The 22,634-nt window shown below is 47.0% G+C and overlaps 2 protein-coding genes across 16 annotated transcripts in view, besides 4 other annotated features; both read right to left on the bottom strand.

Annotated features, from left to right (window-relative positions):
- Positions 1-15,752, bottom strand: part of GAD2 (glutamate decarboxylase 2) — an 88,187-nt gene extending 72,435 nt beyond the window's left edge. The window contains exons 1-7 of one of the 2 annotated variants that reach the window (NM_000818.3): positions 15,239-15,752; positions 14,455-14,514; positions 14,133-14,282; positions 12,848-13,081; positions 8,147-8,237; positions 7,473-7,585; positions 2,347-2,462 (exon numbers count right to left, since the gene is read on the bottom strand). In NM_000818.3, the coding sequence (NP_000809.1) occupies positions 2,347-2,462; positions 7,473-7,585; positions 8,147-8,237; positions 12,848-13,081; positions 14,133-14,282; positions 14,455-14,514; positions 15,239-15,314 (840 nt within the window). In that variant the 5' untranslated portion in view covers positions 15,315-15,752. The remainder of the gene's footprint in view (positions 1-2,346; positions 2,463-7,472; positions 7,586-8,146; positions 8,238-12,847; positions 13,082-14,132; positions 14,283-14,454; positions 14,515-15,238) is intronic. The other variant, NM_001134366.2, reaches the window with a different exon arrangement.
- Positions 13,398-14,026: an enhancer, noted in NCBI's record as "H3K4me1 hESC enhancer chr10:26507027-26507655 (GRCh37/hg19 assembly coordinates)". NCBI's record gives its function as "activates a minimal SCP1, AML or CMV promoter by ChIP-STARR-seq in primed H9 embryonic stem cells {active_cell/tissue: H9 hESC(primed)}" and the evidence as "EXISTENCE:reporter gene assay evidence [ECO:0000049][PMID:30033119]".
- Positions 16,636-17,202: an enhancer, noted in NCBI's record as "H3K27ac-H3K4me1 hESC enhancer chr10:26503851-26504417 (GRCh37/hg19 assembly coordinates)". NCBI's record gives its function as "activates a minimal SCP1, AML or CMV promoter by ChIP-STARR-seq in naive H9 embryonic stem cells {active_cell/tissue: H9 hESC(naive)}" and the evidence as "EXISTENCE:reporter gene assay evidence [ECO:0000049][PMID:30033119]".
- Positions 17,203-17,768: an enhancer, noted in NCBI's record as "OCT4-NANOG-H3K27ac-H3K4me1 hESC enhancer chr10:26503285-26503850 (GRCh37/hg19 assembly coordinates)". NCBI's record gives its function as "activates a minimal SCP1, AML or CMV promoter by ChIP-STARR-seq in primed H9 embryonic stem cells {active_cell/tissue: H9 hESC(primed)}" and the evidence as "EXISTENCE:reporter gene assay evidence [ECO:0000049][PMID:30033119]".
- Positions 17,769-18,336: an enhancer, noted in NCBI's record as "OCT4-NANOG-H3K4me1 hESC enhancer chr10:26502717-26503284 (GRCh37/hg19 assembly coordinates)". NCBI's record gives its function as "activates a minimal SCP1, AML or CMV promoter by ChIP-STARR-seq in naive and primed H9 embryonic stem cells {active_cell/tissue: H9 hESC(naive and primed)}" and the evidence as "EXISTENCE:reporter gene assay evidence [ECO:0000049][PMID:30033119]".
- The window catches only part of MYO3A (myosin IIIA), a 278,304-nt gene continuing 275,261 nt past the window's right edge, over positions 19,592-22,634 (bottom strand). For all 14 annotated transcript variants that reach the window (XM_011519498.3, XM_011519500.3, NM_017433.5 and 11 more), the window contains one exon: positions 19,592-20,281. In XM_011519498.3, coding sequence (XP_011517800.1) covers positions 20,161-20,281 — 121 coding nt within the window. In that variant the 3' untranslated portion in view covers positions 19,592-20,160. The remainder of the gene's footprint in view (positions 20,282-22,634) is intronic.

The following is a 22,634-nucleotide window of genomic DNA, read 5'->3' as shown; positions in this document are numbered from 1 at the left end:
ATCCTTGGAGAAGCTGAGAAAAGAAAGTTATCTCCTGGTGGGGTACTAGGTAGAGTGGGCTGAATAACAGATACTCCCTGCCACAAAAATCACATCCTCATCTTCAACACCGTGAATATGTTACTTTACTTGGTAAAAGGGACTTTGCAGATGTGATTAGGTTAAGGTTGAGACGGGGGATTGCCCTGGATTATCTGAGTAGATCCAAAAGAGAGAGGCAGGAGAGCCACAGGTGGAAAGAGATGTGGTGGTAGAAGTAGAGGTGAGAGAGAGAGAAAGAGAGAGATCCAAAGATGCTATGCTGCTGGTTCTGAAGATGAACCAAAAAATGTAGGTGGCCTCTAGAAACTGGAAACATCAAGGAAACGGAATCTTCCAGAGAGCCTCGAGGAAGAATGCAGCCCTGCTTTTCCCATTTTAGATTTTTGACCCCCAGAACTATAAGGTAATACATTCATATTGTTGTAAGCCACAAAGTTTGTGATCATTTGTTCCAGCAGCAACAGAAAGGTAAAATACTAAGTAATTTTAGGCTGTGTGGTTTTTGCCCAATGTGACCCCTATACGTTGAAGAAGGACATTTCACAAAATAAAACCCCAAAAGATGACTGAAAACAAGATGCTTTGATAATTTGTTAACATGGAATTGCTAGTTTCCTTTAATTCCACAGCTACTGCTGTGGTAATGAACTGTATCCACTGATTTCCAATCTATTTCCTTGTCATGGACACCTACAGACACACACAGAGACAGACACACACACATAGATACACATACCTCACTTAAAATAGGAAATAGAAAAAGTTCATGGTGGATCTGGATCTGAGACCCACCACGGTTCCCTGCGTCTCCTGAGTGACATTTCCTTACAGGAGCCCTGAGTCTCCCTCTAGGCCCTTCCTCCCTCCCTGTCTCCTAGTTCCCTGGCTATCAGAGGGCTTCCTGATTGTCTCTGAGGCAGCTGTATTCCAAAGCCCAGGCTACTGTGAGGCAGAGATCATGAAGGAACAGTCTTATGTTTTTGTTTTTTTTGAGAATGGAGTGTGGCTCTGTTGCCCAGGCTGGAGTGCAGTGATGCGATCTCTTCTCACTGCAACCTTTGCCTCCTCGGTTCAAGTGATTCTCCTGCCTCAGCCTCCTGAGTAGCTGGGATTACAGTTGCCTACCACCTTGTCTGGCTAATTTTTTTGTATTTTTAGTAGAGATGAGGTTTCACCATGTTGGTCAGGCTGGTCTTGAACTCCTGACCTCAAATGATCTACCTGCCTCAGCCTCCCAAAGTGCTGGGATTACAGGCATGAGCCACCGTGCCTGGTACGGTGCTATTTCTTTATGGTAACAAAACCTCTGGTCAAGTCAGCCAAAGATGAATGTTAAATGGTTCAGGCTGGGTATGATGGTGGCTCACGCCTGTAATCTCAGCACTTTGGGAGGCCGAGGTGGAAGGATCACCTGAGGCCAGGAGTTTGAGACCAGCCTAGCCAACACTGCAAGACCCTGTCTCTATAAAAAATAGAAAAATTAGTCAGCCATGGTGATACATATCTGGAGTCCCTGCTATCCAGGAGGCTGATGTGGGAGGACTGCTTGAACCTAGGAAGTTGAGGCTCAGGCTGCAGTGAGCTGTGATTGCACCACTGCACTACAGTCTGGGTGACATAGCGAGATTGTCTCAAACAAACAAACAAACAAACAAAAAGGCTCAAGGCACCATGAGGGCAGAATATCTATCAGATCAGTGGGCTGAGTTTTCAAACAGAAAAACTGTATCAAAGGCTCCTCTGGAGTTTTGCTTACATGGGCGTAGCATCAATGGTCCAAATGAGCTCACAGTCCCTCTGCCTTCCCTCCTCTTCCCCTTCCCTCCTCTTCCCCTTCCCTTAATATGCAACTTGATTGCGCAGAAGCGAAGGGTAGGAACTAGAGCTAAAAATATTTTCCTTTTTTTTTTCTTTTAGACAGGGTCTTGCTCTTTCATCCAGGCTGGAGTGTGGTGGTGCAATCACGGCTCACTGCAGTCTCAACCTCCTGAACTCAAGTAATTCTGCTACCTCAGCGTCCTAGGATCATAGGTGCTACCACATCTGGCTAATTTTTTTTAAATTTTCTGTGAAGATGGGGTTTCACTATATTGCCCAGGCTGCTCCTTTATCTTTGAGGGTTTTCCTGAATTTCAAAGAGTCAAGGAGGACACCCCATAGTACCACTCAGCTTTCTCCCCCATTCCCTCCCAAGGTGTCTTCCAGAAAGAGGGCCTCTGGGGATAATGCATTTCCAGCCATCACTCCTTAAACTCGGGCTTTATGGAACATAACCTTAAACTTGCAAGGAAAAGAAACACATACATGTTCAGACGTGAAGGCAATGAGCCTGGGAAGAGCAGCCATTCCTTTCTCCTTGACTTCTGGGAACATCTTAAAGCGTGCGATCATCATGGCATACATGTTAGATATGGCGCCACCTAAAGTGCACAGCAACACGCAGTTACTTTATTTATTATCAACCTCATTTCACATGCAAGCAACATTCCTTATTTCCACTGACCTGAGTCCTCCTTGGACTCAGAAGAAAAACCTATTGACTATCTTTAAACTGAATCCTCAGACTCAAAGGCGCTACCCCAGAGGGCACATGGGGACAGGACAGGTGCCACTGTCACACCCCATCTCAGTCACTAAGGGGAACTGCAGTGGATTCTACTCTTGCTGGAAGCCCTTTGAAGAGGTTTTTAATTCAAAAGCAAAAGGTTTGCCTCCATCCCAGCTTGTGAGCATGGTCATTCTGCACTAGGTGTGTAAAATTCTGGTTATATCTGGATGGAGAAAGCTTTTTTTTTTTCATTTCAACTCATTCAGTGCCTTGCATTTGGATTAACATAAATCAGCTGTTACTGGTGTAAGCTGCTAATCAACTTTTTTTTTTTTTTCTTGAGACAGGGTCTCACTCTGTCGCCCAGGCTGGAGTGCAGTGGCACGATCTCCGCTCACTGCCACCTCTATCTCCTGGGTTCAAGCAATTCTCCTGCCTCAGCCTCCCAAGAAGCTGGGACCACAGGCATGCACCACCACACCCGGCTAATTTTTTTGTGTATTTTTAGTAGAGACGGGGTTTCACCACATTGGCCAGGCTGGTCTCAAACTCCTGACCTCAAATGATCCACCCGCCTCGGCCTCCCAAAGTGCTAGGATTACAGGTGTGAGCCACCACGCCTGGCCTAATCAACAATTTTTACTGAGCAGCAGTCTCCAACCTTTTTGGCAGCAGTGATGCGTTTCGTGGAAGACAATTTTTCCACATATGGAAGGTCGGGGGCTGGTGGGGGTGGGGTGGAGAATGCTTTTGGGATGAAACTGTTCCACCTCACATCATTAGGCATTAATTGGATTCTCGTAAGGAGCATGCAACCTAGATCCCTCGCATGCGCAGTTCACAATAGGGTTCACGCTCCTATGAGAATCTCATGTGGCTGCTGATGTGACAGAAGGCAGAGCTAAGGCGGTAATGCTCGCTTGCCCCTTGCTCACCTACTGCTCTGTGGCCCCGTTCCTAATAGACCGCAGACCTGTACCGATCCACCACCAGGGGGTTGGGGACCCCTGTTATAAAGGATAAACCTCCACGTCCATCTCATCATACTCATCTATTCATTCCCTCTAAACTAGTTCTTCCCTCTCAAAGACATCATTGAAATAATAGAATTGTATTAGCTAACAAAACTTATTTCATAAGTATAGACAAACATACAACTAAGAGAATTTTCAGTCCATATTGTGTTACGTTTTCTGTGTCATCCAAAAGTTGTCAGGGATTCCACGCCATAAGATTTGTGTCTTGTAAGTAGAGTCTCACTTGACAAGCAAAGAAAATGCAGGGCTGTTGGGAAGTTTAGGATGTTTGCAATTCAGGAAAGACAGATTGTTATGAATGCAAATTAATATGCTGGGATGGAAGACATGAGGCCATGGGGCAGAGTGAAGGTACTGCCTCTACCTCCTGACCAAGGGGAACACCCCAAGTCCTGCCGTCACGTGAGTGTTGTGAGTTACTCTCCTTCCTGGTGGCTGAGGAGCAGGAGGGCTCCATGTCAAGCTGAATGGCCCAGGCAGGGGTATGACCTTTGTCTCTTGAGCCCTGGGCTCTGATTCAAGCAGGCTGCCCAGCACAGAGCACTCATCACCCAGACACATGCCTCTGTCCTCAATCAAAATCAGGGCGATTCCTTCCTTTCTGGACTCTAGAGATACAGGACAGGTAGAATCAGGTAGAATCCAGGTCACGCCTGCTCTGAGCAGACACCCGGTGTGAAAGGCTGGCTGTAGGATGCTGGAAGCAGGGTCTGCTTCAGAAGGAAATTCCATCCTAGCTCATGGTTTTGGCACTTCCTGACATTTTGGGCAACATAACTGGTGAGGGCTGACCTGGGCATTGTAAAGTGTTGAGCAGCATCCCTGGTTTCTACCCACCAGATGCCCATAGCACCCTCTCCCCCAGACAATCAAAAGCATCTATAGATATTGCCAAATGTCCCTTGTGGGGAGCAAAATGATCTTGTTTGAGAATTTAGTTGTTCTTAAAGAGGCTGGAGAAGGAAGGAGGGAAGAAGAGAAAGGGGAAGACGTATCCTAAGAAAGTGCTCTTCATGTGCATTTCTTCTGAAGCTTCCAGCCCTGCCCTCCCACACCTCACTCTGCAACTCAGCTGTCCTCTGGCTAAAGGCTCAGCAGCTCTGAGTGAGAGAAAGAGGCTTCTGGGCCTCCAGGCAGAGAAGACTGTTTTGTGTAACAGAGGCATGAGGACAAATGCGTGAGCCCTACCTGCTCTTATTTCCTACGAATCCTCTAAGAAAGGATGTAAAAGCAAGTGCTACTTTGGGAGACTGAGGTGGGCAGATCACCTGAGGTCAGGAATTCAAGACCAGCCTGGCCAACATGGTGAAACCCCATCTCTACTAAACATACAAAAATTGGCTGGGCATGGTGGTGCATGCCTGTAATCCCAGCTACTCTAGAGGCTAAGGCATAAGAATTGCCTGAACCCAGGAGATGGAGGTTGCAGTGAGCTGAGATCGTGCCACTGCACTCCAGCCTTGGCGACAGAGTGAGACTCTGTCTCAAAAAAATAAAAAATAAAATACATGAATAAAAGCAAGTGCTGAAACATTATGAAAACCCTGTTAGCTAGGAAAAGGTCGGTGACTAAGCCAAGCTTTCTTTCCTAGCCCCTCTTTAGTCTTTGTGCTTTGTGACCTGCTGAGCAGTAAGGAATGCTCTGTATTTCTCTGGTTCCCAGTGTAGGTGACATCACAAAAGCAGATTTCTTCTAGGAGTCCTAAAGGACTTTCCATGAAGCATGAAGGCTTTGGATATTATTGATGGAGCTATGACACAGTATGTTTTAAGTCACAGACCTAACTCTTCACATTGAGTCCCAGGGAATGAGACTTTTAGATCCCAGATGCATAAGATGTGTGGCTTTCTCTATCCCCACCCCTTAAATTGTAAGACCCTTTACTGCAGGAGCAAGGCTGGTTGCTCCCGGGAATAGCATCCATAGCCAGTAAGGATGTGATGAGCCACTTCTCGTCTGTGATGTCTTGTAGAAAGTAGAGCAGAAACAGGTTGCAATGACCTTTTCTGCTGTCTCCTCCCAACTTTGCAATGTCTGCACTGCACTGTAGTGTGACATCTATGGCTTGCATCTTGGCGTAAGAGCAAATGGGTCTTTAGGCTCCAAGGAAGCCTATAATTCCCATGCTCAAGCTGAAGTCTTCTCCATGTGAAAATCCCCCATTATCAGTGAGGGTGGAGGGTAAGCTCTAAGCCTAGCAGAACTGCCTAAGAGAATTATTTCTCTGGGTGTATGTTTTCTGGGGCATGTAGGTTTTTCAGACCAGCCAGGTAAATTAGGCCTAGCTGTTAGTCAAATTAGTCAAATTTTCAGGGTCAACAGGTACATCTGTCCTCTCCCTACTCCCGGGGACCATTAAAACTTATGCACGGGAATAAATTCAGCATAAAATAAATGCAAATAAAAGAAAAAAAAATAGAGCCCAGCATGTTCTTGATTCATCTCAGGGACAGATCAATCCTATAACCAACCACACAAGGGTGGGAAGAAGAAAGGTAGAAATGATGTGGATCTCTGTACCCCACCTCATTCCTCATGAACAATGTTTTCAAAGCATCAGGCAATGATGACCAAGCTCCCTCAACAGGGATGGCTTTCCAAAGGAAAACTAAGTACTAAGTGCCATAAAAAATAAAGGCTAGCTTAAAATTCATCACAGCTGGTGTTCAATGACTTTTTAAAAGGCTAATTTTCCCTTCCATTTAACTAACACCTTTTCCTTCAGCACCTGAAAAATTGTGCTATATATTTAAACACATAAAATAGCTGACCAGAGCTTGCAGGCAAACATGCTTAACTTAAGCCCTGGCCTTGGGGTCACTCTTGCTTATCATTTCTTCTTTTCACTTTTTCTTTTCTCCCCTATCCCCGCCTCATCATTTGCTTGTCTTTGTAGATTTGCTGAAGAGAGAGCACAACCACTTGGCCTTTGCTCTGTCTGACACAACGACAGGTGTTGCTCTGGCCTCTCTCTCAGGTGGGTCCTGTCTCAGTGGACTAATGACATCCGCTCCTGCCACTGATTAGCTGATGGTCTGCACATCGGGTTTCTTTTCCATGGGTCAGTGACTCTCTTTGCATTGCCTTCCTAACTTCTATTTCTTTTCTGCATCAAACCAAGGTCACACACAGAACTGTAAACCAAGGGCACAGCTTTTTGTTTCAGGTTGATTCTCTTGGCTGGAAGAGGTCTAAGTAATGGAGCTTAGAATTCAATGGCTGGTGATAAAAAGGCAGGATGGAAAAGACTGAATGGCATGATAAAGAAGAGAAGGGATGAGAAATCTCTTGAAGAAATCGTCACCCTCTATTTTTGCTCTAAGAAATTCTCTCCCAAAGCGTTCTCTGTCCTCCTTGAAATTAGTGTAAATCCACTTTGGTGCTTGTTATTTCAAAGACAGAGTGGTCCATATGCTCTACTGAGTAGATATACCTTGCTATGCACCCTTGAACAGCAAATGCTTTATTAAATGAGGCTACCCATTTCCTTTCACTAATTCTAGGAAGAGCATCAGAGAGTGAATTTCCTGATTAGGAATCTTGATTCCTTTGTTCCACATTATCCGTACATCCTGTTTGTAGGGTCACAGTAGAAGCACTGGGTAAGTACCATCTCTGATTATGCTCACTTTGCACACAAATAACTGATGTTCAAGCATGGGTTACTTAGCTTGGAGGCATGTTCAATGGTCATGTGCACTTAATCACAGTCATTCTTTTGATCAACACACAGTCTATTTAACCTAAGCAGAGGCATAGGCTAGATTTTTAATCTTCCCTAGGTTTACAACAAGGCATTGCATATTAGAAGAAAAAACACAAAGAAAGTTGAAATATCATGTACCGGGAGAAAATATCCCATCGCCAGAGCCCCCTGGCCAGCCAATGATTTCTCTCATTTTCTTTAGTGTGACATATTCCAAAAGCACAAATACTGGAGCAATTTCATAGGTGAACCTGAAATGTAGTAATGGCCACATTTTACCTCTGTAACTCAGATAAATAATTTACAATCATTACAATAGCTACAGAACTATTTCCTTTTTCAAAACATACATTTACAAGTGTTATGATTATAACATTAAGCAGAGAGAAAATTATTTCAAAAAGGCCTTCCAAAATGTTTATTTTTTCTATATCCCTACAGTCAAGAGCTCCAACTACTGACATAATGCACGAGGGGAATTTATTGTATTGAATAAATAAAAAATATTGCAGAGTAACATGATTTAAAATATAATATCTGGTCCCATTTGTCTTTGACATTATGCACAATAATAAATCAAACGTGAGAAAAAAGTCTCTTTTGTATTTTAAAAATTTTGTAGAGTTTGATTACATGGAAGATGTATCAGGACTACTTTCTGTTACATTAAAGTGAACACTCACACTTCAGAAGTTTGTATCACTATTTTAGTGGCTACTTAATAAAAAACAGATTTTCACATAAGATGTAAAGACTATGGAATGTCACTAATAATTATCCTAAATTACATAAAAACACATTTGGCTACTTACATGTTAGTATTTGCTGTTGATGTCAGCCAGTCTGCTGCTAATCCAACCATATCCAAACCAGTAGAAAGTTGATTGAAGTATCTAGGATGCCCTGAATAAAATGGAATACCAGAATCAGGATTGCCTCCAGTGAAAATAAATGCCTCTCAAACACATGATTTCTCTAGCTAAAGGACCTTGAAAGATCTGTCAGTAACAGGAAATCCATAAGTAGAAATCCAACATGTACACACGTGTGTATGCACAAGAACACACACACACACACACATGCACATACACACACACACACACCATAAAAGCGTTTCCTCTAACCACGAAGACTACTTTAGGTTTTGATATTTCTTAAAACATACCCTACAAATCTTCCTTTAATCGGACCCTATAAATATAACAAATATGGTTTGCAATCTGCATGAGTCTCTTTTCTATTTTCAATATTTTCGCAAGCTAAAATGCTACTGCAACCCACAGCCATTCAGACAGGTAACTTCTCCTTTATACTCATGCTGCTAGAAGTCCTTTTTTGTAGTCGTTCTGAGAATCGGTCATACCATGACATCCGCCAGGCATGCCAACATTCATAATAATATCAGTGACAAATGGCTGATGATTACAAAAGACAGGGCAAAAATGAGAAAATAGGACACTCTGCTGAATGATTTGCCCTGGATTCAAAAGGTGATGATTGTCTAAAGATGGCATGGACAAAGCTAATTCTTGTCAATTCTTCTTTGTTAATTATAAACAACAGCGCTCCTCCATAGTTGTGATTTAAAATAAGGCCACATACAGTCAACATCACTGTTTTATCAACAAGATACAGAAAGATATACTCAATCGACTGATTAGTCCATCGCAAGGCTTATCTAATTAACTTCTAGATTCCTCTAAAACTCTCTAAATGGATTGACATCCACACTCTCCTGAGGCTATTATTTAAAATGTGATTATAAATATGTCATTAGCATTCAGTTTTCTCCTCTTGCTCCACAAAAGCCTGTCATCGATAGGTCCGTGATTTGCACAGCAGCAAAAATTTTAGAAGATGGGCCATTGTGGAAATAGCATCTGATAAAAAGGTATCTTCCACATCCTGGACATCTGTCTGAAGCCTGGGATGTGATTGTCTCTCATCTCCAGCACAGGCAAAACAAGATAAAGGAAGGCAATGGGGAAGAGCAGGGACAAAAGTCAATGGCTAGCTTATCTCCTGCACTGGAGTGCTCTCTTATCAGCCTCAGGCATGTGGCCAGACAGACACTGGGTAAAGATATAAGCTGGGAGGGAGCCCATTTTAGCGGGATCAGGACTTGTGTATCTATTGTACATTCTCCAGCATTGTTTTATGTCCTTGTGGCCTCGTGTGGTACCCCTCTATCTCTGATGCTGACCCCCTCAGTTTACCCATCCACGAAGGGTGAGAAGGCTTTTTTGCTGCTGTGGCCACTGAGGTCTGGAGCAACCCTTCACTCCTCTCTGCCTCATTGACTCCCCATTTCATTATGCTCGCAGCTGAAATCACAGCCATTTCCTCCCTCCCGATGCTCCTTCATTTCTCTTTCCCTAACCCTTTTTTTTTCAAGTGAGGAAATTAATAAGGATTATAATTCATATTCATTTTCTGGATGAATGTGGTGTCTATGATTAGACAGTATTTAACTCTAGGGAAACTTGGGAATGAAAACCTGTGCATAAGATGGAGAGAGATTGTGAGGGGTGTGTTGTGCCTCTGGATATCAGAAGGCCAATTCACCCTGATGATAACTTTCCGTAAACAGTGAAAACAGGTTTGACGCTTTCATTGCTAGGTTTCCCTTCCTCCCTATATATATTTTGACCTTGCTCTGCCATTTCACCTGAATCTCTCCTGCCTCAAAAATTTCATTCCCTGATGATGATGTGAAAATAGGGAGGGAGATAGTTTGACAGGTCAGATCAACAGGCTCTCTCGATTTCTGGCAGAAATATTCCCCTAGTGACATTTGCTCCCATCCTGTGGCCCCTACAGGCTGCTTCCTAGGGCTGCCCAGCAAATCAAGGCAGGGCTCTCTCCAAGGAATTGTGAGACCTGCCCCCATAGGTCAGGTGTCCCTGCAGCCCTTGGCCTCCTGCTGCTGTCGCCACCCTGCCAGGCCCTGTGATGGGAGCAGAGCGCACTGCGTCAGCCATTGGGTGGCCACACAGCCTATGCAGCCAGGAAGGTGGCGAGCTTGAGATGTGAGAACTGGCTGCTCAGACTCAGGGATGCTCCCTGCAGACTAGCAAATGAGCCCGGAAGGATGCGCAGACTCTGCGAACAACCAGCCTCAGGCAACTCTGACCCTGTGCTCATGATCAGTTGGGAAGAGGCCAAAAGTCGGTCCAAACTGCTCTTTATGTCCTGGCAACACTCACACTAGGGCTGCCTCATCTACTGACGCTTAATTCCCTTTGTCTGATGGTTTGGTAAAAGATTCAGGACCACATTTAAGTCCTACTCTTCCCCAGCCAGCACCACCACCACTAGCACCAAATCTAATGATCTCTGCAAATGCAAATTATTCTGGAATTCTATCATTCTCTGCTCAGTTTTCCGTGTTCCAACATTTCTTTTTACAGAGGTAATTTTAACAATCCATGAAGACTTCATTTTCCCACTGCCCTTCACTCCTCTCTAAGCTTGGAGCCCAAGTGGAAATCAGGTTAAGGTCTCTCAGTAGAAACAAGATGATAATATGCATTTTATAAAATAATCTCTTGAGGAGTATTAAAATGTCTGGTAGTAGCAAGGATGGTAACTAATTTGACATACCCTAAATAGCATTAGATGACAAGTATGACAGTTATAGCACAGAAATCTATAAAGTTGCCAGCTGAATAGAGAAAATGACTGCTGTTAATTTTTTGAAATGCTATTTGAAGGAAAAGGCCAGCAGACTAAATATGTTATGAAAACTATTGAGAGATTGAATTGATATGCCTTGCTTAGAAATCCAACTTAATCCATCACATTTTTATCTGAACTTTAAATAAAATGCATTACAGTGACACCTAACAGTTTCATAAGCATTATGGCAAAATGTAAGTATTGAATTAGCCCATCTTTTCCTGGCACTAAATGCAACGTTGATAGACAGAACTATTACTTTCATTGACTTGCAGTTCCCATTATCTTAACTCTGTAGACTGCATTTCAGGCACCACTAGCTTTCAAGGATGAAGACACAAAACATTTCCATAGGTTCTTTTTGGTTTGGTAGCAATACAAACAATAGGTGGCAATTTACTATTAACGTATCTAAATATAAGGTATGGGGAATGGGTCAAAAAATGAATTAAAAGCATCACCCAGGATTGCACTATGAATGCAGGAAAAGCTGAGGAGGGGTAGGAAAATTTTTAATGCCTGGTATAAACATCACGTGGGTTCTTCATGAACGTTAATTGAGGATGATGTCTAATACACCTTCAAAACTCCTATTCCATAGCCTGACTTTGATAGAAATCTATGTCCCAAGGCTTTTTGTATGCCTACCTTTCTTCTCTGTTGGTACAAATAATGTGAACAAAAAGAAAAAAAGAACTAAACTTCTCACAGCAAACATTTTAAGAATGTTTGTTATTGATTAGCGTAATACTGCTAATTCATCAGCAAAATGTTTGCAATCTAAAAAGATGACGTTTCTATGGTGATGAATGTTCATGTCATATTTCACATTTTTTATTTGCTAGCAAATCTTTTAAAGGCTACACATCAACTTCGATCCACAAAGTCCTCCCCACCCCTGGAAATTCATTCATACTTATTTTTATTGCCGTAATGAAGTGTCAGCCATCGTGTATCAGGATGATTAGAGACAACGTAAAAAGCGAGGGTAATCAAGACCTGGGCAGATGAATGGCTGACTTTGTGTAGATAACATGAAAGCTCGGAATGCACCCAAATAAATGTTATAAATGAAGCTGTAATATGGATGGAATATAAAGACTCCTGTGAAAAGCCAAGAGACCACAAAAGTACATTTAAAAAAATTTCCCCCTAAGGATATCTGATTTGCCCCTCCCCCCCTTTTTCTTTATCTCACATATACAGTGGCTGGGAGGAACACACATCCTTATATAACATGGCTGAATTGCTAAGCTAGTCTGTATCATGCCTGCTTGTGTGTTGTGCACATTTCCTTAAAAATAAGTGAAAATCTGAATTCAAATCTGAAAGGTTGGCCATTTGACACAATGTGAAAACATCCCTCCCACTCAATGATTAATAGGGTGGTGAGTCCTGTTTCTGATCAGTTTTATGCCAAAGAAAATACCAGCACAGCACTGGTATTCGGGCTTTTGTTTGGATCACGCATTTTTCGAGCTTTTATTTCCATATTCTCTTTCTCCACTTTGAGTTCTTTCTGCTGGTCTCTGCTGATGAATATTTGCTTCTATACCAGTGGTATAACCTCCGTGTCCAAATACATGCAACGTAAAATCTGATGATTTACACTTAAATCATGTTTCTGACATTATCAACTTCAGAAGCATGAACAATAGCAGTGGAAGGTGCTTTGGATTAGAATCATTCTAATAATGACTATTTTTTACATGATGAAAATAACTTTGCAATTTTGAAAATATCAGTAACTCCATCAAACAAAACATTTTATAGAAAAAAATAAAATAAAAATTGTAAACGAAAAAAGAGCTTTATTATTTTCGATGAGACAATACCTGTTTTAATTGCATATTTTAGAGTTGTTTGGCAATGCATCAAAATTTCCTCCAAATTTTGTGGTTGGTCTGCCAATTCCCAATTATATTCTTGGAGAAGCTCATTAGGATAATGGAAATCAATCACTTTGGTTGATCTATCGAAACTTTTCACCACATACTGAAGTAAAATGTTCATAACATCTTGCAGAAACGCCAAAGTGGGCCTTTCTCCATCACACGCCGGCAGCAGGTCTAAAGAATGAAATTAAAATGCCACATTTTAATTTTACTTTGAAAATATTCAAGGCAAGATCTTGATGAGGCAATAACATTTCTTTGAATTGAGAGATTTCATGTTAGATAAAGCTTTTGGAAAGGCAGAACATTTTTCTTTAAAAGGGAGACATTTTTCAAAGGTGAAGGGAATGAATGAGATAAATTATGATTTCTTCTCTTCCCCAAATTAATTACTGCATTTCAATTCATAACTTATATTGTTTGCCTTCTTTTTTTGAAGAGCGTGTACCTCCGTTTATCTAGTTCACAGGAGTTCGTCTTAAACGTGTTTCTCAGTAAACCATCTTACATGTTTACATAAATATTTCACGTCAGAAGTGTTTGTCTCGAATGCCTTCGGGCAAACCAAAGTGGAACAGGTGCATTAGGATCTCTGGTCTGATAGGAAGGCCCGCTGTTTCTAAAGTCAGTGTGTGTGTGTGTGTGTGTGTGTGTGTGTGTGTGTGAGAGAGAGAGAGAGAGCGTATGCATGTGTGTCTGCATGTGTGTGTGCGCGCGTACATTTGGGAGACGGTGTGTAAGTGCACGGGGGTAAAACTCGGCGCGCGGGTTTCATGTGAATGGAATCGTTCTCTTGTGCAATTGCAGCTACAAATCACTCTCGTGATCTAAAGACCTAAAAAAAATGCAATTCTGAATTCTCGGGCACGGTATTTGGAAACTGAGTCCCACCCGAGGCCCCAGCGGCCTAGGGAAGCCAGCCGTCATCGATTCAGTGAGCGCACGAGCGCCTGGATCGTCGGCCACCCGCCATCCCAAGGGCCGCGCTGGGGGAAGAGCGCCACGGCCTCAGAGCCCTCTTGGAGCTCCGAGGCCAGGTTCGGGGGCTTGGACCCAGCGGGCAGGTCCCGCATTTCTCGCTTTTATCTGAAGATTCTGGCAGGTCCCGCCTCCGCTGCCACCTCGACGCCCCTGTCCGGCTCTCAGCGCCGGACCCGCACCGGCCGCGGTGGGCGGGGCAGAGAGAGGGGCAGGGGCGCCCCGGGGCTCCCCGCTGAGTCTTTACCTGTTGCATGGAGAAACGCGTAGTTGACATCCACTTTGGAGCAGCTGCAGGGCTTCTGGTCGCAGGCGCAGGCGGCCTTCCGGGCGGCGGCCCGCGGGGGTTGGCTCCCGCCGCTCTCCGCCGGCTTCTCGGCGTCTCCGTAGAGCAGGGCTGGGTAAGGACACCGAACGCGGGCCTCGTCAATCCTCCGCCGGGCCCGGCTCCCTCGCTCCCGCCTACCCGCAGCCAGGAAACCCCGACTCCGCTGACTGGGATGCGGAGGTGAGAAGACTGCTTGGACCCCGCGGGCCGACCTTGGCCGCCCCGGTCCCTGGGCACTCACCGCACAGTTTGTTTCCGATGCCGCCCGTGAACTTCTGAGCCACTTGGCACCAGGCTCGCGCTGCAAGGAAGAATAGGCAGGCAGACAGCGAGGCAGAAAGAGAACAACAGACGGACGTGTGAAATTTCGTTCTATGTGAAAATCAATCAGTCCGGGGTCCTAGGAGGGGCCGCCTTCCTCCTGGGGGCCGCTCAGGACTCGGTGAGGCCGGCAGGTGCAGAAGGCAAGCGGGAGGCTGGCGGCCCGGGCCAGCCCTCATTTCCTTTATCTGTTTCCCGAGGAGAAGCCCACACCGCTGCCCTTCCAGGTGCCAATCGGCTCAGGCAAATTCCTCTCCCTGCCTACCTTGGACGAGTTTTCCTAAACACTGAAGCTATCCATTTTTTCGCAGACTGTCTTTCTAGATAAAGAAATCTCTCACCTTTCCCATTTTTTTTTTCTATCTTCACGGTCACTCCGTCCCACCCCAGGGTCCAGACACCCGGATCTTAGCAGCGCCCCAGGACCACGGAATTCCATGTCCCCGAGACACCGCGGTCTTTGGGGGGCTCTTCCAACCTTCTGTGGAACGGGCCTGAGACTATTTGGGCGTCTTCCCAGGGTACAAGAGGCTGTAGAGGTCTTGAGCTCTTGGGCCGTCAAGGACTTAGCCCAAAAGCAGGGAGAAGCGCCCGAAGAAGTTTCCTGTTGCAGGTGGAAAAACCTCCTTCGTCTTCTCCGTAGTTCCGCAAACCCCAGACCACCGCAAAACTCGCCCGCCGCAGGCCCCCGTTCTCCTTCCTACCTGTGCCGGGATTCTCGGAATCCCCAGAGCCATCTTCCGACCCGAAAGACCAAAAGCCAGAGCCCGGAGATGCCATCGGCTTTGGAGACTGGAGCAGGTCGCCTGCGAGTGCGAGCTGCGGGCGAGCTGCCTCGGGCTTGGCCCTGCGCGCGCGTGCGTGCCCGTGTGGCGGGAGGAGGGCACCGCGCGGGGACCGGCGGGGCCGAGCGGCGAGGGCGGGTGTCACGCAGGAACAGAAAACGTGCGTGTCTGTGCGTGTGTGTATGCGAGCTGGAGACAGGGTTTAGGGACGTGGCAACCCTTTGGAAGCCGGGGAGCTTTAAAAGAGACCGGGACTACCTAAGGGTCCTCGGAGCCCGGACTCAGGAAAGCGCGGAGAGCCCCAGAGCATTTGAGGGAAAGGGAGCCCAGTGGGGATGAATGAGGGGGCGGCGGAGGAAAAAAACACGAGAGAGGGAGGGAGCTGAGTCGTGAGGATGCGAGGCAGACCATGCACGCCAGCTGGAGTCAGAGTGAGGGGGTGGGAGGCGTGCCAGCGCGTCCTCGGGCGAGCCAGAGGCGGGAAGTGCGGGCGGCCGCTGTCCCGGGTGCTGCCACAGCCGCTGCGCGCCAGCGTCAGCGAGGGGCAGACTGGGGAGACCTCGGCGAGGCGGGAAGCGTGGCCCAGAGGAGTTTTCTGTGTGCATCGATTGGGGTTTTGTTTGAGGTCTGGCTCCAGCTGAGGGGAAGGAAGCGGGGTTCCCGCGCCGTTTTCCTCCAAGCAGGTGCTGAGGTCACTGCGACCTCGAGAGCTCGCGCCCCGGGCGGGCATCAGGCGCCGTTCACGAGCCTGGGGAGGGGACGGCGGGGGAAGGGCTCCTACCCGCTGATGGGCTCATTTCAGCGCCTTGGTAGAACCTGACGCCTGCCTGCTGAACCGCGCCGTACCCGGGGGCGCACCGTTCCTGCGTAGCCAAGGGCTAGATCGCGGGACCCACCGTCCAGGCTCTGAGTGACGGCTGGGGAGAATGACTGCTGATTGAGGCAATTAAAATCCACGCTGGAGTCTACTGAGGACCTCGGGCTGGGGAAAAAAAAATAAAACGAATGGAAACTTCTTGGAAGAGAATGAGGCAGAGCGGCCAGAGTCGGCAGGATTGATGGCGGGTGGGGGATGGAATCAGGGCATTTGGTGACCTTGGCCCGCGGAGGCGTGGAAGCGCCCGCTGCTTGCGTGTAAGGGGGATCTGTGTGCGCCTGGGAGGGGAGAACAGGGTTTCCAACTAAGCAATCTCGGCTTTACAAATCCGAGTAGGAAAGAAGGCATCGCCTGCAGGGCCCTCGTTTTAAGGGGCTTCAAACCAATGCCCCCCCTCGCCCCCAGAGAATCTTCGCGGTAGCGGGTGACCCGGAAGCGCGAGATTGGTTCTCTCTGAGGCGTATTAGGAGGCGGTTTCTCTTTTTCTAATAAAGAAAGGAGGAGAAAGTCAGAATCGTTCTGATGATTTCCTTTCTACAAAAAGCTATTGCAGACAGGGAGGACGCCCTAAGGATTGGGAGCCCTTTGACAGTTTGCGCTGCGTTCTCCTGGCAGTGGAGATGAACTTCAAGTGCACCTCGGAGCTCCGGGGCTCTGGGGGAGACGGAGGGAGGGAGAGAGAGGAAAGGGCTGAGGTCGGCTTCCCGAGGCGGCTGCCTTCCCCGCGCCTGGCCAGAGCGCCTGTCATTTCCATTGTGTTCACAAGTCGTTTTATTTCTCTGACCTCCTGAACCAGCCACCAAAGCTGCTAACAAAGCAGAGACCCGGGGATCCCGTCTGGGCGAGCACCCCTCGACCCTCGCTTAGAAGGGACATCCTGGGGCCCATGCTGGACGCATACAGGCCCAAGTCCTGTGTGCTCGAGCATAACTGTCCCTGGTCAATTCTCTCCACAAAGCGCTGTCTTCTTCTCGCGTGCCTGAGTCCAGGGGTTCCCTGAGGAGTCATGGGATCCACACTATGGCAACTGGGCCCAGGCGCCAGGATGAGAGCAGGAAACCAGTCGGGCGTTGATAGCGTCCTGCCGAAGGCTGGCACTGAGCGTGCTAGGTGAAGTCTGTTCCAGGCTGTGGGAGCCCGGGTGGTCGAAAACTCAGGGCTCAGTTTGGCTCCTCTTTCTTGCTCTCCTGGCTCTGACACTCTAGGTCACCACAATAACAACTCCGGAAACCTAAAGACTTGTGGTTCAGCCATCTGCACTTCAGGCATGGCAGCTCCGCAGCTCTCTCCAGCCTCGCAGAGGCTGGTTCTTTGTTGAAATCCATATCAAATCCTGCAAAGGTTTTCCTTCAAGCCAGCAGTCTAGGGTTGCAGAACTTTTCTACTATGGATGAGTGGTTGAAAACATAAAGGTTCTTAAAAGCAAGCGTTTAAATCACACAAAACCCCCAAAGAAGAAACGGATTAAAACACCTGAATTTAACTGATTTTTTTTTCTTTTTGGTAAAGCAATGGCTTCAAGTGCTACCGTTTAAACTCCATTAAATCCCACAGCTCTGGAGTACTTTGGATCTAATGGTGATATTTACATTTTTTATTTAAACACACCCTACTTCAGATGCAGATGGAGATCTGATTTGTCTTTCCTGAAGGCTGTCCCTCCCTAGACGGTAATTTGCTTTGTAATGACTTTCATTTCACTAAAGAGCCCATTCCCCCTCTCCGGGGCTTGGGGTTGGAGATAACAAAAGAGCTCTGGGAGGTAATAATTACAGTCATTAGTTCACAAAGGAGGCAGCCAGTGAATGGGAAGGGAAGGCGGCCGCTTTGGAAGGCCCTTCCTCAGATGAGGGGCGAGAGACCCAATCCTCCGACTTGTAGGGACAGTTTCCTTAGGTGTCTGGTTTACCAACATATGGGTCTCAGGCTGACCCAAAGAAGAGTGTCTGGCACACATTTTCCTGTGTCCTTCCCGTGCTTAAATGTCAAAGGACAGAGAAAGAAGGGAAGATGGAAAGAAAAAGAGGAAACAACCACGGAAGAACACAAAAATATTGCAACCAAGCATTCACCAAGCCTTTGCCATTCTCTTTTCTATTCTCACTTAAAACATTGGTGCAGGAAAAATTTAGGGAGGGAGTCTGTTGCCTCCCTCCATAAATTCTCCCTACACCAACAGAAATAACAGAAGGGGCTGAGTGCCAGGGCTCTTGTCTTCAGGGGCCACCCAAGAAGGACGCCTAGATTGAAGGGTGGCCAGGCAGAAAAGCTGAGCTTAGCTTACTGCTCCTTACCCCTGGCCCCTGCTCCGCCCTCCCCACAAACCCAGGCCTTCTGGAGGCAAGTGGACAGGCAGCTAGAGGTGGAAGGGGGCCAGGCCACTTTGGGCTTTAGACACCCCTGCCCCTCCCAAGCCCCTCTCTCTGGTGACCTGCTGTGCTGGTTTCCTGGGTACTGGGCCATACTCAGCTCCTCAGTGCATTCGCACAGCTGAGGGTTACTCCTTACTTTCAGTCGCAACCCCAGCAAGACTGTGCCGCTAACCCAGGGAAAAAGAAGGCCTGGAGGGCACTTGGACTCTGCCATGCCATAGCTGCAGGTTTTCCCTTGGCCACATTGCATCTGTAAAATGAAGAGATTACACGAGTTGGCTCTGGGGACCTTTTGGTGCCAACTCTTTGAGTTGGCGAGATTACTATGCCCTGTGGACCAGCGGCGCAACAAACGCTCTGAGCCCTCTGCACATGCCCTCACTCACTCCTCGAATATTTCCCCAGAGTCTTTTGACTCCGGCTTGTGGGTGCAGGAGCCAAGGGCACCCACACAAGGGGTGAGCCCCATCGTGATCAGAACCCTTCTTCCAATTCCATGCAACGACCTCATCACCTGTCCTCACCCTCTCCAGGTTGCTTAGATGGGAATGTCAGTTTCATAAAACAGCTTAAACCGGGTTTTAGAATAAGGTGCAGTCAACCCAGGAATGCAAACTTCTGTCCACCCACTAGCCTCCCCCATTTTAAATACACACAAAGTCGGAGTAGCAAAGATGGCCCCAAATCTGCAGACCGGGAGAACCTGAAATCTGACAGTTCCACCCAGTGGGGGCACTAGCATCTTTATAGATGGGGCCAAAGACAGTCACGCAGATTGGGAAGGCATCGTGCAGGCGAGCACGTGTGGTGTGTTGGGGATTTAGACATTGGAGGCCTCTGCGTTTGTGTGGCAAGGGGTTTTAGCTTAGATTGTGTTTGTCTGAAGTGGCTGGGTGGTGCTGGGAGTTCGCTGATGAAGGCACCTCAACGCCCCTCCTTGGGCCCGTCACCAGCACAGCCTTATAGCAGAAGCCCCTCAGAAGCCCTAGAGGGGAAAATGAGGGATCAGTCACGCAAACCACGGGTTTTCCAAGGCACTTCCTTTATTTAGTGACCTTAATAACCAAAGGAAGAGAAAGAGCAAGCTTGAGATGAAATACATCTTCGAAATTCTCCCCACCCCTCCCGGGCTTTTTTCTCTAAGATTCAACCGCTAGCAAGTGTTCTGTTGGCCAAGAAAAGCCGTTTCCAATAAAAAAAAAAATCTGTGAATTCAGTCACCCCAAATGAGAGAGGGGTTGGCGAGATCCCAGGCGCAGTGGAGTCCACAGGAGTCACAAAAAAAAAGAACAAAGTGATAGATTAGGGGAACAAGGACAGGGTTGCCACAACTGGCGGGCTGGTGAGAAAGGAGGGTGCGGGAGTTCCGAGAGAGAGCGTCGGGGGAGGTTTCCCGAGGGCTCCCAGGTCTCTTGTTTCGGAGCACGAAGGCCGGCCCGGGCACTTGAGGGCCGAGCGCAGCAGGCAGCCTCTGCGGAGATCAGGGCCGCAGCTTCAGTGCCTGCTGGTGCCAGCCCCAGAGTGCCTGCTTGGCCCCTGCTGCCCCGCAGGCTCCAGCGCCTTCCGACGGCGGTGACTGCCTCGTTGAACGGTTAGGACTGCTGGACGAGGCGCCGGCGCTGGGAGGTTTTGCGCAGGAGCCTCCTGAAGTCGTAGGGGTTGGCTGCTGGCTCTCTCTCCTCCTCCTTCTCGGGGCTCTCCGCCGCCCAGCACCTGCAAGTGAAACCCAGGGCCCAAGTGTCAACCTCACCACAGTGAGCAGCGCGTCCCCACCTACCCCGAGTTAGGCGGGTCCTCTTCCTCCCACGTTCTGCCAACCGCGGACATTTAGGAAAGGCACAATCGAAACGACTGGATAATGGCCAAACGTATCTGCGATAATTCTCAACAGGTTTTAAAAACTCCTCTAAGCTGAGGAGCAGAGGGGCTGGTGGAGCCTGGTAATGGTGTTTAGATACGTGCTAACTAAAGCTTCAGAAGGTGCAGTTTGGAAAGGTGAGTTTGGATTGCAATAATTCACAACCAATAAACAAATATTTATTTTAATACCTTAATTTTAACACACTTTGGTCAAACAAAAAACTCAAAGTGCCCAAATAGACACTCAATATTTTGCATTTTAAAACTGCTCAGATGTTTCTTTAAAAAATGCTCACTCAAAATCTGACCAACTGCTCTGTTAGTGACACCAAGAGCTATGGGCCTTGTTGGCTTTTTCAGTGTTTCAATGTTTTCAATGAGGCTGCTGGGCTAAGTTTCTGAATCCATTGCTGAGAACCCCTGCCAATGTTTACCTTCAGATTCTGCAGCTTGTCTGGAAAGTGGGGTATTCCCTAAAAATGCAGCTACATAGATTCATTCACTCCCCATTGATTCATTCATTCATTCACTGAGCACCTGCTAAGTACCAGCCACCAGTGTAGGTGACAGGTGAGCAGAAGTCCTTGCTGTCATGGAGTTTATAGTCTAGTGCAGGAGACCCACAGACAACTTGAAAACACCAGGGGGTGAGAGGCTACACAGAAAAGTAAAGCTGGGTAATGGGGAAAGAGTGGTGTGTGTGTGTGTGTGTGCATGTGTGTACAGGCAATTTGATACAGGGTGGTTGGAAAGGCCTCTCTGACAAGGTGATATATAAGGAGAGACCTGAAGGAAGACAGTGAGCCATGCAGATCTCGTGGGGAAGGGCAGTAATTCCAGGATGATAGATCAAGCAATGTAAAGGCTGCAAGACTAGAGTGTACACATCGTGTTCAAGGAACAGCAAGGAGACCACTGTGGCTTGAAAAGAGTAAGCGAGAGGGGGAAATAGCAAGAGATGAGAGAAGGAGGAATGAGGATAGAGTGTTCGGATAATTTAGTGTTCAGATAATTTGAGACCATGTCAAGGACTTGACTTCTCCTCACAGTGAGAGAAACATTGAAGGGTTCTGTGCAGAGGAATCACTCATAACAGGATCTGTCTGCCAGGATGAAAGTAGGAAGGCCTGTTAAGAGATTCTGTAGTAATCCAAGCAAGACCGATAGTGGCTTACACTAGGCCTGTGGAGGAGGAGGTGAGAACTGGCCAGATTATGGTCATACTTGGAAGTAGAACTGAAAGGGTTGGCTCACTGATGGATTAAACGTGGGGTGTGAAAGAGAAGAACCAAGAATGTCGCCAAGGCTTTTGGCTTAAAAACTGGAAGGATGGAACTGTCATTTAATGAGATGGGGAAGGCTGCAGAGAAGCATAATTTTTGCAGTGGGATAAACATTTTAGTTTTGGTTATGCTAAGTTTGAGATATTTATTAGATATTCAAGAAGATATCAAATATATAAGTCATGGCAAGGCTAGATATTTCAGTTCACAAATTTTAAGTACAAAGACAATTCCTTCCCTCCCTCCCTTCCTTCCTTCCTTTCTTCCTTCCTTCCTTCCCTCCCTCCCTCCCTCCCTTCTCTCTCTCTTTTCGCTCTTTCTCACTCTGTCACCCAGGCTAAAGTGCAGTGGTACAATAACAGCCTCACTGCAGCCTCAACCTCCAAAGCTCAACTGATCCTCCAGCCTCAGCTTCCTGAGTAGCTGGGACTACAGGCATGAGCCACTACGCCTGGCTCCTTTTTTTATTTTTATGTTTTTGTAAAGACAGGATCCCACTAATGTTACCCCGGCTGGTCTTGAACTCCTGAGCTCAAGTGATCCTCCTGCCTTAGCCTTCCAAAGTGCTGGGATTACAGGCATGACCCACAGTGCCAGGCCAGGAATTTTAAGTACTCAGACAATATTTAAGGTCATGAGAGTGCATGTTGATAAAGCAAAGGTCTGGGACACTCCATTACTGAGAGATCAGTGAAATGAGAAAAGTCAGCAGGGAGAATGAGAAAGAGCAGCCAGTAAAGTAAGAGGCAAACCAAGAGAAGTGCTGTCCTGAAGGCCAGTGAATGAAGTACTTAAAGAAAAAATGAGTAACATAGGTGTTAAATCACAGAGCATGGCAAAACGGAGGTCACTGTTAACCTTGGCAGAGGCAATTTCAGTGTCGTGCTGGGAGAGGAAACCTGACCTTGAAGCGGCTCAAGAGA

This window comes from Homo sapiens, chromosome 10, assembly GCF_000001405.40.
Source record: "Homo sapiens chromosome 10, GRCh38.p14 Primary Assembly".
Lineage (NCBI taxonomy): Eukaryota > Metazoa > Chordata > Mammalia > Primates > Hominidae > Homo > Homo sapiens.
Note: the sequence above shows the minus strand (reverse complement) of the source record. Positions and strands in the feature narration are given on the sequence as shown.